This window comes from Homo sapiens, chromosome 15 (genome assembly GCF_000001405.40).
Source record: "Homo sapiens chromosome 15, GRCh38.p14 Primary Assembly".
In the NCBI taxonomy this organism is placed as follows: Eukaryota; Metazoa; Chordata; class Mammalia; order Primates; family Hominidae; genus Homo; species Homo sapiens.
Window position 1 is genome coordinate 51,503,567 of NC_000015.10, and position 14,483 is coordinate 51,518,049.

The window sequence follows — 14,483 nt, forward strand, 5'->3', positions numbered from 1 at the left end:
ATGGGAAGGGTTGTGGGGTGGGTGAAGAGACTCTTTAATAGGTACAAACATGAAGGTAGAAGAAATAAGTTCTATTGTTTGATAGCACAGTAGAATGACTACAGTTAACAACAATGTATATTTCAAAAGAGCTAGAAGAGAAGATCTGAAATGTTCCCAATCCGAAGAAACAATAAATTTCAAGGTAATGAATATCCTAAATACCATGATATGATCATTACATATTCTATGCATGTATAAAAATATCACATGTACGCCATAAATACGTATAATTATTATGCATCAATAAATTTTTTTAAAAAAATTACTTTGCAGACAAGGTCAATTTTCAAACTTTTGCTTAGTTACCCTGATAAGCTTAAATTTTTTTTTTTACAATTTTACTCTTTCTTAGCACCAACTCCATCATGCAAGACTGACAGGGAAGAATCACAACATGTAAAAGCTAAAAGAAACCCCTTATACAGTCCAGTGCTTACAACCTTTAAAACACATTAAAAGCTTGAGGAATTTGTTAACATGCAAATTCCCAGGCCTAACCACAGAGACACTGATTTAGATGATATGGGGTAGATCCCAGTAAAGCAGCCCAGGTGTTTTTGAAATAGATGGATCATGAACCAAACTTTAGGAAATAACAATATACTGCCTCACTTTTAGATTAAGAAATTTAAACTCAGAGAGCTTAGTGATTTTCCTGAGGCCATGTAATTAGCTAGGGGCAAAGAAGACATTAGACTAGTAGCCTCCTATCAAGTACTCAAATCAGAGAATGATTTCAAGAATAAACACAAAAACCAAAAGTTCTAAGAAAATTTAAGATAGTATTAGTTGACAGCCTTTGTAAGCCATATTGACTTGATCTTCCAAAGAACTTCCAGTGAGTGTAAATCTCTGATTCAGTTATCTGTTCTTCCGTGACATATAAGAGATACTCTATATTTATTTATTTATCTGTCTCTCCCCATTGGACTACAAATTCACTAAAGGCAGGGATGATGTGTTGTTATTGCCTTGTACATCTCAAAGAGCACCAGAATATTCAATAAATAATAATCCTCTTTTGTTTCTGTTAAACATGTCAATCTATCTTATAATGGCAGGCCACTAAGTAAGAAATATTTTCACATTTTTTTGTAAAATGAAATAAGACTACAAACTTGGATCCGTAGTCAGAAGACAGAGTCCCACTCCTGGCTTTATCACTAATGAGATGTGTTTCCTTTGGCCAGGCACTTCACCACCATCTCTGGCTACTTTCTCACCAGCAAACTAAGGTTAAACTACATCATTTCTCTTCCTGTAAATCATACTATTTTCTAACATATATCTCATGCTAAGAAAGAAAATAAGAGCAGGAAAAAAAGCAAAGACTTTAGAGTCAACAAGGCCTGATTTTGAAACTTAGTTCTGTGACAAACCATATAATGGGACTTGGTCAAGTTACATACCCTTACTCCATTAGTAAACTGGGGATAATATCTATTCACATATATAAAGCACCAATCTCAGTGCCTGGCACCCAGAAGGTACTCAACATGTTTCCTTCTCTAACAAAATTTAAACCAATCATTTATCCTCTAACAGGATATTCACTACTGCAGTAAATTCAAGCGTTAAATGTGAATGGCAGGATACACTGTTAAATCTGCAGCAAAGATTAGAACAAAAAGATAGATGCTTTCTATCACAGCTAAAAAGAGTACATTATTTGCCTCTACTGTAATCTCATTGTCTGTGACCTACTGCTGTCACAAACAGGGTAGGCAAGCAACTCAACTCTAGCCCTGGCTTTAGTGAGACACACGCTTCATAAGCAGTGGGGACAAACAAAATCACATGGTTCCTGTCCTCCCACAAGGACCTGTTACTACCCCTATAAATCTCTTCAGAGCCACTCCCATTTCTGTGCCCAACTCTAGAAATTACTACATTCTCTGCTGGGTGAATCTCTTCCTGATGAACTGGTTTCAGATCCCTTCTCTTGCATTTCTATCAAACAACATATAATGCAAAGAATTAACTCCAAAGGCTTTGAAAGAATTTTTAAATTCCTGGTGCCTCAAGAAGATTAGGCTCAACTAGGTGAAGGTAAAGGTTCTGTCACATAATTTGGCTTTTCTAATGCCAATTCATGGCCCAGTTAGAACTGCTACAATTGTGATAATGTATAATACATGTGAACAAAAAAGTACAAATTATTCTTTCACTGTATTAAATGTTATATAAAAAGTTGTATAAAATCAATTAATTACAAGACATAATAAAATCTTACAACTCAAATATTTTGAGTTAACAGTTTAAAGCAGATTCAATGTGATATGGCTATCCATGCAGTTCTTCATTTTAACAATTATCTCTCAAAAAGGAAAAGTTTGTTTTTAAAAAATCTGTGATCAATTTCTTTGCTTCATACTACAGATTTCCCAATTAGTTTAGAGATTAATCTAAATGTGTACAGCAAAAGAATGGCTGAAGTAATTTTTTAATCATAATTGCATTTCTTTTTTTGAAATGGAAAAATTGACAAGGGTCTCACTTTGTCACTTAGGCTGGAGTGCGGTGGTGCAGTCTCGGCTCATTGCAGCCTCTGACTCCAGGGCTCAAGCAATCCTCCCATCTCAGCCTCCCAAGTATAGGTACATGCCACCACACTTAATTAATTTTTTATTTTTTTGTAGAGATGAAGTCTCACTCTATTGCCCAGGCTGATCTCGAATTCCTGTGCTCAAGCAATCGTCCTGCCCTAGCCTCCCAAAGTGCTGGGATTATACGCATGAGCCACCATGCCCATGCCCAGCCTGTATTTCTTAATGCTCTACAAAAACAGTTCTGCTTATAAGTCTCAGGCACTCAATCATATTTCATCAAACAGCAATTCTGCTTTTTTTTTTTTTTTTTTTTTGAGATGGAGTCTTGCTCTGTCGCCCAGGCTGGAGTGCAGTGGTGCAATCTCAGCTCACTGCAACCTCTGCCTCCCGGGTTCACGCCATTCTCCTGCCTCAGCCTCCTGAGTAGCTGGGACTACAGGCGCCCGCCACCACGCCCGGCTAATTTTTTGTATTTTTAGTAGAGACAGGGTTTCACCATGTTAGCCAGGATGGTCTCGATCTCCTGACCTCGTGATCCGCCCACCTCGGCCTCCCAGAGTGCTGGGATTACAGGCGTGAGCCACCGCGCCCAGCCAATTCTGCTTATTTTAATGATGATAAAGCTGATGATGTGCAGTGTATTGGATGGGAATGTGTATTAACAAAAAAGTACAATATTAGTTCTATGGACATCTAGAACAGTCATAATGTACACTCAATAAATATTCACTGAAAAAAATAAACAAAGCTTTTATTTTTTTTCAATATGTCTAATGTGCCCTTAGGCTGGTTTTTAGAATTAACCAGTTTCATTAATGATTTATGACCTTGTAATTAAAAGTTTAGAAGAGACATAATTCAGCAACTCAATTTACAGTTTAATGGAACTTCATTTTACAGAATTAACCAAAGTAAAGCATATTCTATAAAATAAATTTGTTATGTATCATCTCTGTATAAAACTATAATTACTTACCTAAACATGCTTGTACAGATTTAAGATGAAGGTGCCACATATGCAGAATAGAGTTATTATTGCTGTCCTTCTCAATTACTACTAGAAAGAACTTTTCTGAAAATGGTGGTGGGCGGTATCCTATTATTCAAAGGAAAAGGATATTTAAATTAGTATGTTTTTATGGGGTTAAAAAAACACTTTTTAAAAGCTACCACCACCTCTTGATATGCATGGAAGTTGGGAAGAAAAGGCAAGAAAGACTTTAAGGAGGAGTTTTATATAATTTTTGTACCGAAAGTTAGATAGCTATCAAGGACTAATGAAATTACGTCAAAAGTACACAAAAGCTAACATGAAAGGATACCTACTAGTCAAAGAGGGGACATTTTGAGCATCAAAGAATAAAACTGAATACAATTTGTTAAAACGTATTTATCCTATTACAAACTATGAGTTCACACAAATACCAAAAAAGGGTACATAAAAAAGAAAGCAAAGGAAAGAAAGCAGCAGCAGAAGAATGGGAGGAGGATAGAAGGGAAGGAAGCGGGGTGCTGAGCACACAAAAGCTCAAGCCAGCCTCACAGGATGCCCCTGGAGTAACTGGGGCACTTACGCCTTATTTAGAAAACTGGCAATTAAAAAGAAATAATAAAATAAACATTCATCCTGCTTTTCTTGCATGAAAACAGCATTAAAAAAAAAAAAAACTTAAGTTGTGGGGGAAGGAGCAGTGGTAGGGTAAAGAAAAAATTTTGTAGAAATTTCATGCATTTTTTAAAAAAAGACATTACTTGTATATATAATTTTCCCTGCTGAAAATTAGATTCTTCATAACTGAAAATGAGATCTAATGCAGGATAATAAAAGCTTTCCTTAATCATTAAAACTCATAATGACAACATATTGGTAATGAGCGCTGCTAGAGTTAAAATTGTGGCCTCTAACCATTTTCATTAGAAGAAACAGTCTGGCACCGCATGTTCTCACTCATAAGTGGGAGTTGAACAATGAGAACACATAGACACAGGGAGGGGAACATAACACATCAGGGCCTGTTTGGGGGTAGGGGGCTAGGAAGGGGAAAGAATTAGGAGAAAGACCTAACATAGATGACAGGTTGATGGGTGCAGCAAACCACCATGGCACGTGTAAACCTATGTAACAAACCTGCATGTTCTGCACATCTATCGCAGAACTTAAAGTATAATAATAATTTTTAAAAAAGAAACAGTTTGGAAGGATGATTCCATTCTTGCAAAGGACAGCTACAAGATAAACCCAGGAAAATCTTGCTCCTGAAAGAAAGTAAACTATTACAATAATGAGGTTATGTCAAAAGGACACAGGACCTACTTCAAATGCTACTTACTAGCCTAATATAGCACTATGTAAGCATTTAAAAAATGACTGCAACTGACTGAAATATCCTACATACCTAAAAATCCATTGAGTTATATGAGTACTTCTCTGTATGTATATTATAGTTCATTAAAGAGTTTTCTTAAAATGAGTTCATATTGATACTTAAAAGACAAAGAAATCCAACAACAACAATAAATTCAACAGTAGCAGCTAGAGATAACCAGCGCGCAGACTCCTCATTCTGAAACTGTCAATTAAATGGAAATAACTAAGCACTTAACCTTTCCAAAAAGAACTGTTTTTCAAAGTAATCCAATAGCCCTAGTTGATAAAGAAATGCTTTTCTTTACAGATGCTTTCCAGCTAATAAATAAATGAGAACTGATAAAATTGGAAAATCATAATTTTTCAATCCCTAATGAAATAACTGGTTTAAGATCAATAATATTCAATGGAAGAAGCCATGAGATAAAGACTGCTGTCAAACTATAATGACACCACCACCAACTGAATCTTCCGAATCTTAATATGACTAAAAGTGAGATATCCAAATTTTTTTTTCTGGTATGATACATATGAAGTACATGGCATCACCCAGAATGTTGAACCCAGATCTAATCAAGTCTGTAGAGCTAACTTCCACTGTACAGGCAATACAGTAGACAAGAAAAAGTTTAAACAACATCACAAGTAAGTAGTCAGAGAAACTTCTTTAAAAAAAAAAACTTGCTCTAGAACTGAAGGAGACAGAGATACAAAAAACCCTTCCAAAAATCAGTGAATCCAGGAGCTGGTTTTTTGAAAAGATTAACAAAATAGATAGACTACTTGCCAAACTAATAAAGAAAAAAAGAAAAGAATCAAACAGACACAATAAAAAATGATAAAGGGGCTATCATCACTGATCCCACAGAAATAAACACTACCATCAGAGAATACTATAAACACCTCTACACAAATAAACTAGAAAATCTAGAAGAAATGGATAAATTCCTGGACACATACACCCTCCAAAGACTAAACCAGGAAAAAGTCAAATCCCTGAATAGACCAATAACAAGTTCTGAAATTGAGGCAGTAATTAATATCCTATCAACCAAAAAAGCCCAGGACCAGACAGATTCACAGCCAAATTCTACCAGAGGTACAAAGAGGAGCTGGTACCATTCCTTCTGAAACTATTCCAATCAATAGAAAAAGAGGGACTCCTCCCTAACTCATTTTATGAGGCCAGCATCATCCTGATACCAAAACGTGGCAGAGACACAACAAAAAAAGAAAATTTCAGGCCAATATCCCTGATGAACATCAATGCGAAAAACCTCAATAAAATACTGGCAAACCGAATCCAGCAGCACATCAAAAAGCTTATCCACCACGATCAAGTCGGCTTCATCCCTGGGATGAGAGGCTGGTTCAACGTACACAAATCAATAAATGTACTCCATCACGTAAACAGAACCAATGACAAAAACCACATGATTATCTCAATAGATACAGAAAAGGCCTTTGATAAAATTCAACAGCCCCTCATGCTAAAAACTCTCAATAAACTACGTATTAATGAAACTTATCTCAAGATAATAAGAGCTATTTATGACAAACCCACAGCCAATATCATGCTGAATGGGCAAAAGCTGGAAGTATTCCCTTTGAAAAGCAGCACAAGACAAGGATGCCCTCTCTCACCACTCCTATTCAACATGGTACTGAAAGTTCTGGCCAGGGCAATCAGGCAAGAGAAAGCAATAAAGGGTATTCAAATAGGAAGAGAGGAAGTCAAATTGTCTCTCTTTGCAGATGACATGACTGTATATTTAGAAAACCCAATCGTCTCAGCCCAAAATCTCCTTAAGCTAATAAGCAACTTCAGCAAAGTCTCAGGATACAAAATCAATGTGCAACAATCACAAGCATTCCTATACACCAATAACAGACAGAGAGCCAAATCATGAGTGAACTCCCATTCACAATTGCTACAATGAGAATAAAATACCTAGGAATACAACTTACAAGACCCTCTTCAAGGAGAACTGCAAACCACTGCTCAAGGAAATGAGAGGACATAAACAAATGGAAAAACATTCCATGCTCATGGACAGGAAAAAATCAATATTGTGAAAATCGCCATACTGCCCAAAGTAATTTATAGATTCAATGCTATCCCCATCAAGCTACCATTGACTTTCCTCACAGAATTAGAAAAAAACACTTTAAATTTCATATGGAACCAAAAAAGAGCCCTCGTAGCCAAGACAAACCTAAGCAAAAAGAATAAAGCTTGAGGCATCACGCTACCTGACTTCAAACTATACTACAAGGCTACAGTAACAAAAACAGCATGGTACTGGTACCAAAACAGATACATAGAACAATGGAACAGAACAGAGTCCTCAGAAATAACACCACACACCTACAACCATCTGATCTTTGACAAACCTGACAAAAACAAGCAATGGGGAAAGGATTCCCTATTTAACAAATGGTGCTAGGAAAATTGGCTTGCCACATGCAGAAAACTGAAACTGGACCCCTTTCTTACACTTCATACAAAAATTAACTCAAGAGGGACTGAAGACTGAAACGTAAGACCTAAAATCATAAAAACCCTAGAAGAAAACCTAGGCAATACCATTCAGGACGCAGGCATGGGCAAAGCCTTCATGACTAAAACACCAAAAACAATGGCAACGAAAGCCAAAATTGACAAGTGGGTTCTAATTAAACTAAAGAGCTTCTGCACAGCAAAAGAAACTATCACCAGAATAAACAGGCAACCTACAGAATGGGAGAAAATTTTTGCAATCTATCCATCTGACAAAGGGCTAATATCCAGAATCTATAAGGAACTTAAACAAATTTACAAGAAAAAAATAACCCCATCAAAAAGTGGGCAAAGGATATGAACAGACACTTCTCAAAAGAACACATTTATGTGGCCAACAAACATATGAAAAAATGCTCATCATCACTGGTCATTAGAGAAACGCAAATCAAAACCACAATGAGATACCATCTCATGCCAGTTAGGATGGCAATCATTAAAAAGTCAAGAAACAACAGATGCTGGAGAGGATGTGGAGAAACAGGAAGGCTTTTACACTGTTGGTGGGAGTATAAATTAGTTCAACCATTGTGGAAGACAGTGTGGCAATTCCTGAAGGATCTAGAACCAGAAATACCATTTGACCCAGCAATCCCATTACTGGGTATATACCCAAAGGATTATAAATCATTCTACCATAAAGACACATGCACATGTATGTTTATCGCGGCACTGTTCACAATAGCAAAGACTTGGAACCAACCCAAATGCCCATCAATGATAGACTGGATAAAGAAAATGTAGCACATATACACCATGGAATACTATGCAGCCATAAAAAAGGATGAGTTCATGTCCTTTGCAGGGACATGGATGAAGCTGGAAACCATCATTTTCAGCAAACTAACACAGGAACAGAAAAACCAAACACTGCATGTTCTCACTCATAAGTGGGAGTTGAACAATGAGAACACACAGACACAGGGAAGGGAACATCACACACCAGGGCCTGTTGGGGGGTGGGGGGCTAAGAGAGGGATAGCATTAGGAGAAATACCTAATGTAGATGATGGGTTGATAGGTGCAGCAAACCACCATGGCACATGTATACGTATGTAACAAACCTGCATGTTCTGCACATGTATTCCAGAAATTAAAGTATAATAAAAAATAATAATAAAAATAAACTTGCTCTAAAACAAGTCAGTGGCATAATGAGGGTGTATATAAGGTATCACTTTAGATTAAAATACTCTTTAAATAGACAATGAAAACACAATATGTAAACTTTGTTTGGATATAGATTCAAACAAAAACACATAAACAAACAAAAAGCTCAACATTTTTTAGACAACTGGAAGAAATATGGAGTAGTTATTGCACGATTCTGAGGAATTTTATTATCAATTTGATAACAGCAAATATGTAAGGAAGTTATTTTTAGAAACGCATATGGAAGTGAAACAACACTGTAGGTGGATTTGCTTTAAAATATTTCAGGGGGGCCAGGCGTAGTGGCTCACGCCTGTAATCCCAGCACTTTGGGAGTCAAGGTGAGCTGATCACTTGAGGTCAGGAGTTCAAGACCAACCTGGCCAATGGGGTAAAACTCTGACTCTAGTAATAATACAAAAAAATTAGCCAGGTGGGCTTACAGCCGAGTAGCTGTAATCCCAGCTACTCGGGAGGCTGAGGCAGGAGAATTGCTTGAACCTGGGAGGTGGAGGTTACAGTAAGCTGAGATGACGCCACTGCACTCCAGCCTGGGCAGCAAAGCAAACTCTGTCTCGGAAAAAAAAAAAAAAAATTCGGGGGGAAAAGGAAAAGAAAAATTGTGTAGACAAAGCAAGTGTGATAAAATCTTTAACCTACATTATGGGAATATGGAGGTTCATTTAATTATGCACTATAATTTTGTCTATTTTTGGCATTTTTCTTAACTAAAAGGGTAATTAACTTTAAATTAAAACTTAGTACAAAATAAAGCAGAGGCAGAGAAGAGGAGAAACCTACACAAGTCCTTTAAGAACACAGCTATAAAATCAGGAAGAAAGAGAAATTTCACACAAAAACTAAAGGAAAACCAAGAAAGCACTGAGGAAATCTTTTGGCCTGATTTAGCAGTGGCATAACAAATATCAAAAGCGAGAAATAAAGAAAATTTTTAATGCAAGTCAATTAAAATATTATAAAGAAAAGTACCAACTTTATATAAGCATTGAATTCTGGTAAGCTGGCATATCTTTCCTGTTAGAAATAATGTGATAAATGGCAGCTACATTTGTTGGAAACCATATTAAAAAGATTAACCCAGGCAAAGGTAAGATACTACAGAAAAGTAAATTTTAAATTGGTAAAGCAGTACTGCTGTTATAATGATAGTGAAATAAAACTTAACATAATTGAATAACACAAATAAGAAAAGTTTTGTGTATGAAGAAAGATATACGAAAGAAAAACAAGTTACTAGTCTGACGAGTGAAAAGATGTTTGAGCTAAGCTTCTTAGAATACAGGACCTCAATCTGATTTTCACTAAAGCGAAGGAAATTGTCTGCACAAATTACATAGAAACAGTTTCCTTAGATGCTATACATAATTTCGTGATGAAGACTACACTAAGAAAATTAAATATGTCCATCTGGATATTCACAATTTGTAACCACATGAGATTAATTATCTGAAAACCCTTTGTAAACTAAATATTCGCCATAGACACTTAATTCTTAAAGACATGGCTTTTCAAATAGAACATGTTGGTTTTATAATTATGAAGTTATATATATACACACAATTTTATTTGCCAATTTAAAAAACTTAAATAAAAGTTTAACGTCTGAAGGGAACATTTTAAGCTAAGTTATAAAGTTTAAACTAAACGTCATATTGTTTGTTTTTGAAAGGGTTAAACTACTTACTTTCACAAAAAGGAAAAAATACCACACTTCAAAGGGGAAAACTGTGAGATGGTACCTTGCATTCACTATTTCCATGAGGTTTCTAGTGTCCCACACAACATGATACCTTATATCTTATATTCATCATTGGTCTGAAGCAATTTACTGGTAATTTTTTAAAACCTGTAATAAAATTAACTGTTTTCCTTAAGATACCAAATGGAACTACCAATCAAAATAATTTAATTATAGAGTTGAAGAAACTTACTTTTTAAAACAAATTAAGGTTCACAGATACCATTTCTTAGTAAAAGTTGATGTCACCAATGAATTGTCTTGCAAAAAGTAATTTTCACCCACAGCCCTCTTCATCTACAAGCAAGCAATTTTGACAGAACTAACTGGTGAATCTGTCAAAAATTATGAGAGTGGTAACTTTTGAAGATCCATACTCAGTGAAAACTTAGAGATCATTTTTTAGCATGAAGGTAAACAAATGCAGACTATTTTTTTAAAGTACCTTGTGATGGCTGAAAAAATATTTCTGTTTCCTTTTTCTCCATATCTTCCTTATGTGGTTTATATCCTATAATGAAGTCTTCTTGAAACACATGAAGCAACTGTGTATTTGAGCCACACTACAAATACAAAAAAAAATGAAGAGGTTTTATCTTTGAAATTCCCTGTCTCCCATCTCCCATCTGTCACCTCCCCAATGCTAATGCAGAAGAAATATATCTAACAATTTCTATTCTTTACCACTACTAATTAGAAAGAAAAAAGCAACAGAAGAGAATCATTAAAACTATCCTGGTCAGAGAAAAATTACTTTCAAAAATGTCACAGCCAATAGCAGAATAGAAGAGCTCTAGTACAAACAAATCAACAGGTTTGCTTCTCAGGAAAAAAAAAAAAAAAAAGATGCTAAAAAACCCAAATTCCAAATTTAAAGAACAGTTAAGCAACCTTCACCACTTTGAGCCTGAAAGCATCAGATTCACAACTGACTAGGGAGGGCTGCACTATGTAAGACACACTAGACTACTACACAACTTGTAATTTTTTCAATTCCACTGGAGAACCAAAAAACAAAACAAAACCCAGAAAGCTCCTCGAAGTATCCCAATAGCTCTGTCTAGTGGGAATTATGAGGGATCCTATAACAGCCAGCAGGATGATACATCTCTAGAGAACTAAACTTACACATAAGTAACTAGAACCCCTCGAAGGATGGATGAAACATCACTGTCAACTGCTATGCTCCATGACCATGTTTTAAGACTATCACGAATGGCTACTTAGAACCTTAACAGGAACTGAAGTTCAAGGAAAGGCTAGATCCAAACAAAAGCTTATTTTGGAAGTGTATTAAGACAATCAATCAGATGGCTCCCCCAGAGATTTCAAGAAAAGGAAGCAGCTATGATTATCTTGGCATTGGATGAGGAGTCTATAATCTTATAGAATAAAGGAAAACCTGCCTCTTTACATAATAGAAAGAAATAAAAGGATTATAATATTAGGTTGGGCCATACAATTTTATGAAAGTTATAGGGTATTTTGTGTTTCTCTAGGTAGAAACATTAAAAATCTCTTCACATTCATTGTCTAGGAGGTCATTTCCCCAAGGGACAAACAATAGATGAAAGTAAAGAGAAGGGTGATGTCTTCACAGATATAGAAATCATACAACACATTGGGAACAAACCTAGAAAGAATTTTAAACTTTGTCATTCATTATTGCTTACAGTTTACCAGCCCCTGTGTTAAAAATAGGCACAAGGAGCAGGGGAAAAAGTGTTGAGCAAATATGAAGTAAAAAAACTGCTTTGTGAGAGCAGACTGTGTTAATATCCCATGGTAATGAGTGCAAAGGAGGCTAAAGTAGGGGATGAATTTAACATCCAATCCATTAAAAATTAAGTTATCTATAGGAAGGAAGCCAACCCACTCTTCTACATTCCTATTGAGTAGAAAAAAGAAATCACAGGCTGAATCTGAAGAAAGGTGGGGCACTGGGGATTAAAAAGTTAAGCATTTCCCAGGAGGTATTAGCAATATGGGTCTGGCAGCCCCAGTTCTGCTATCAAGAGATGATGTATTTTATCTATATTAGCAGAAATGAGTACATTTTCCCCAATAGAAAGTGCAAGACACTAAAGAAAATTTATGATGTAACTCTATACTTGCTTTCAACTATAGTTGGCTCTTTCTTCATTTCCTTGTTTAAAACTATTGGTAGCTTCTTTACCAAACTAATCCTTTTCACATTTGGAATAAATGTTAGTTCTATCCCTTAGACCATAAACATAGTCCTAAAGAAACAAATATCCTGAGGGCTAAAATGGGTTTTACATCTCCCTCTAGGGAGAAGGGTTCTCCTTCTTTCCTAGGTAGTAGCTGGGGAGGAATACTACACAAAGGACCTGTGATTAAAAAGTATATGTCCACTTGAATCTGACTTTCATCTGCATTTTAAAGGACCTCACAAAAGTACCCAACATGGGGCCTAACAAGGCAAACACTCTGAAACTGAGGTTACCCTCTATTGAGTTGAAAAGAGTAATAATATAAAATGAGAAACCACAACCCGACCCTTCTATGCAGCTGCACTGTATTTTCTCTCAGCATTTCAAGATCAAGGTCATGGTTTCTCTAAATGAATCAAATTTCCTTTGCTACAAATACAATTCAACTGGAGAAGAATAATTCCTTTTTTAAAAAATTTTACTTAAATAGCTTTTGGGGTACAAGTGGTTTTTTTGTTACATGGATGAACTAGTAGTGAATTCTGAGATTTTAGTGCACCCATCACCCAAGTAGTGTACACTGTACCTAACATGTGGTTTTTCAAATCTCTAGTTCCATTTCCACCCTCCCTCTTCTGAGTCTCTAAAGTCCATTATATTGCTCTGCATGCCTTTGCATACTCATAGCTTAGCGCCCACTTATAAATGAGAACATACAGTTCTTGGTTTCCCAAGGAGAAAAATAATCCCTAAATCATTAGTAGATTTTCACTATGGGAATCAACATAAGTTGTCTGCATTTAATAACAAACAAGAAAATTATTCTGAGAATGACATATATCATATACATATAAAACACCATGGGATAAAGTATACGAATATCACCAATTCACAAGCATGTTTTTACTTGGTTGGTTATTGCGTCGAGTTCAATAATGCAGCCAGGTCGAGCAGTAGACTGTTGGCTCACAATATTAAACACTTCTCCAATAAGTTTCTGTAAATAAAAAACACAAAATGTTAATGGCCAACAAATTATAATCTAATGTCAATATGATACAGCATCTTGGACATTTAAGGCCCCCTCTAAATATTCACTGATTGGCAATGGAATGTAATACATTCAAAGAAATACTTCAACTTTCCATACTCATTCTCATGTTAAGTCTAAAGTTAAGCAGAGAGAAAACTATAATGTTTACAAAAATAGCATATAACTTCAAGGTATCATATCTTCTTCATTTTTGCAACCTTAAAGCCCAAGACAGACATGGCTGAAGATCTGGCCCAATGCCTGAGTGGTCTGCAGATGTGCAATGCCATTTAAAAGTACAACCCTGCCAGACCGAAGGTAAGGGCAAGGGTTGAGAAGAAGTGGGACTCTTGTGCCTTGGGATAAGGATGTATGAACAAACAAATGAAGCCTAACTTTGGAACCCCAAAATCCCAAAACTTTCTGCTAAAAAGAACAGTCCTCCTCACCCATGTTCCAACCAGCTTTCTCTTGCATAAAAACCTTTCAGTAACTTCATCTGAAACGGTTGCCTCAGAAAGAAATGCCCATTCTCCTCAGCACCCACCTTTACCACTTTTCACTACCTCAAAAAGGCCAATAAGAGGGGTTAGAGGCTAGCTTCGCCTAGAGATATAAGTACAAGGTAGGGAGATATAAGTACAAGCATATACACTGGAGTTGTAGAAACTTTCTTATTTGTATCAGTAGGATTCCAGAGAGCATGTAAGAAAATTGATTCTAGGGTTATTAGATCAAAAGAAAAAAATATGTAGTTAGGTAGGGCTGAATTTACTGATATGGGTATGTTCACCCAAGATTCATGATTTAAAGTGTTAGCTCAGACATTTAGAAATGGTGTTAACA

The 14,483-nt window shown here is 35.9% G+C and overlaps 1 protein-coding gene across 22 annotated transcripts in view; it reads right to left on the minus strand.

Moving 5' to 3' along the window:
• Nucleotides 1–14,483, minus strand: part of DMXL2 (Dmx like 2) — a 174,981-nt gene that overhangs the window by 55,776 nt on the left and 104,722 nt on the right. For all 22 annotated transcript variants that reach the window (NR_165648.1, NR_165649.1, XR_007064435.1 and 19 more), the window contains 3 exons: nt 13,512–13,601; nt 10,876–10,993; nt 3,568–3,687 (listed from right to left, as the gene is read on the minus strand). Coding sequence is in view for 19 of the 22 variants with exons in the window: in NM_001378460.1 (NP_001365389.1) it covers nt 3,568–3,687; nt 10,876–10,993; nt 13,512–13,601 (328 nt within the window). In the remaining 3 variants the exon portion in view is untranslated. The remainder of the gene's footprint in view (nt 1–3,567; nt 3,688–10,875; nt 10,994–13,511; nt 13,602–14,483) is intronic.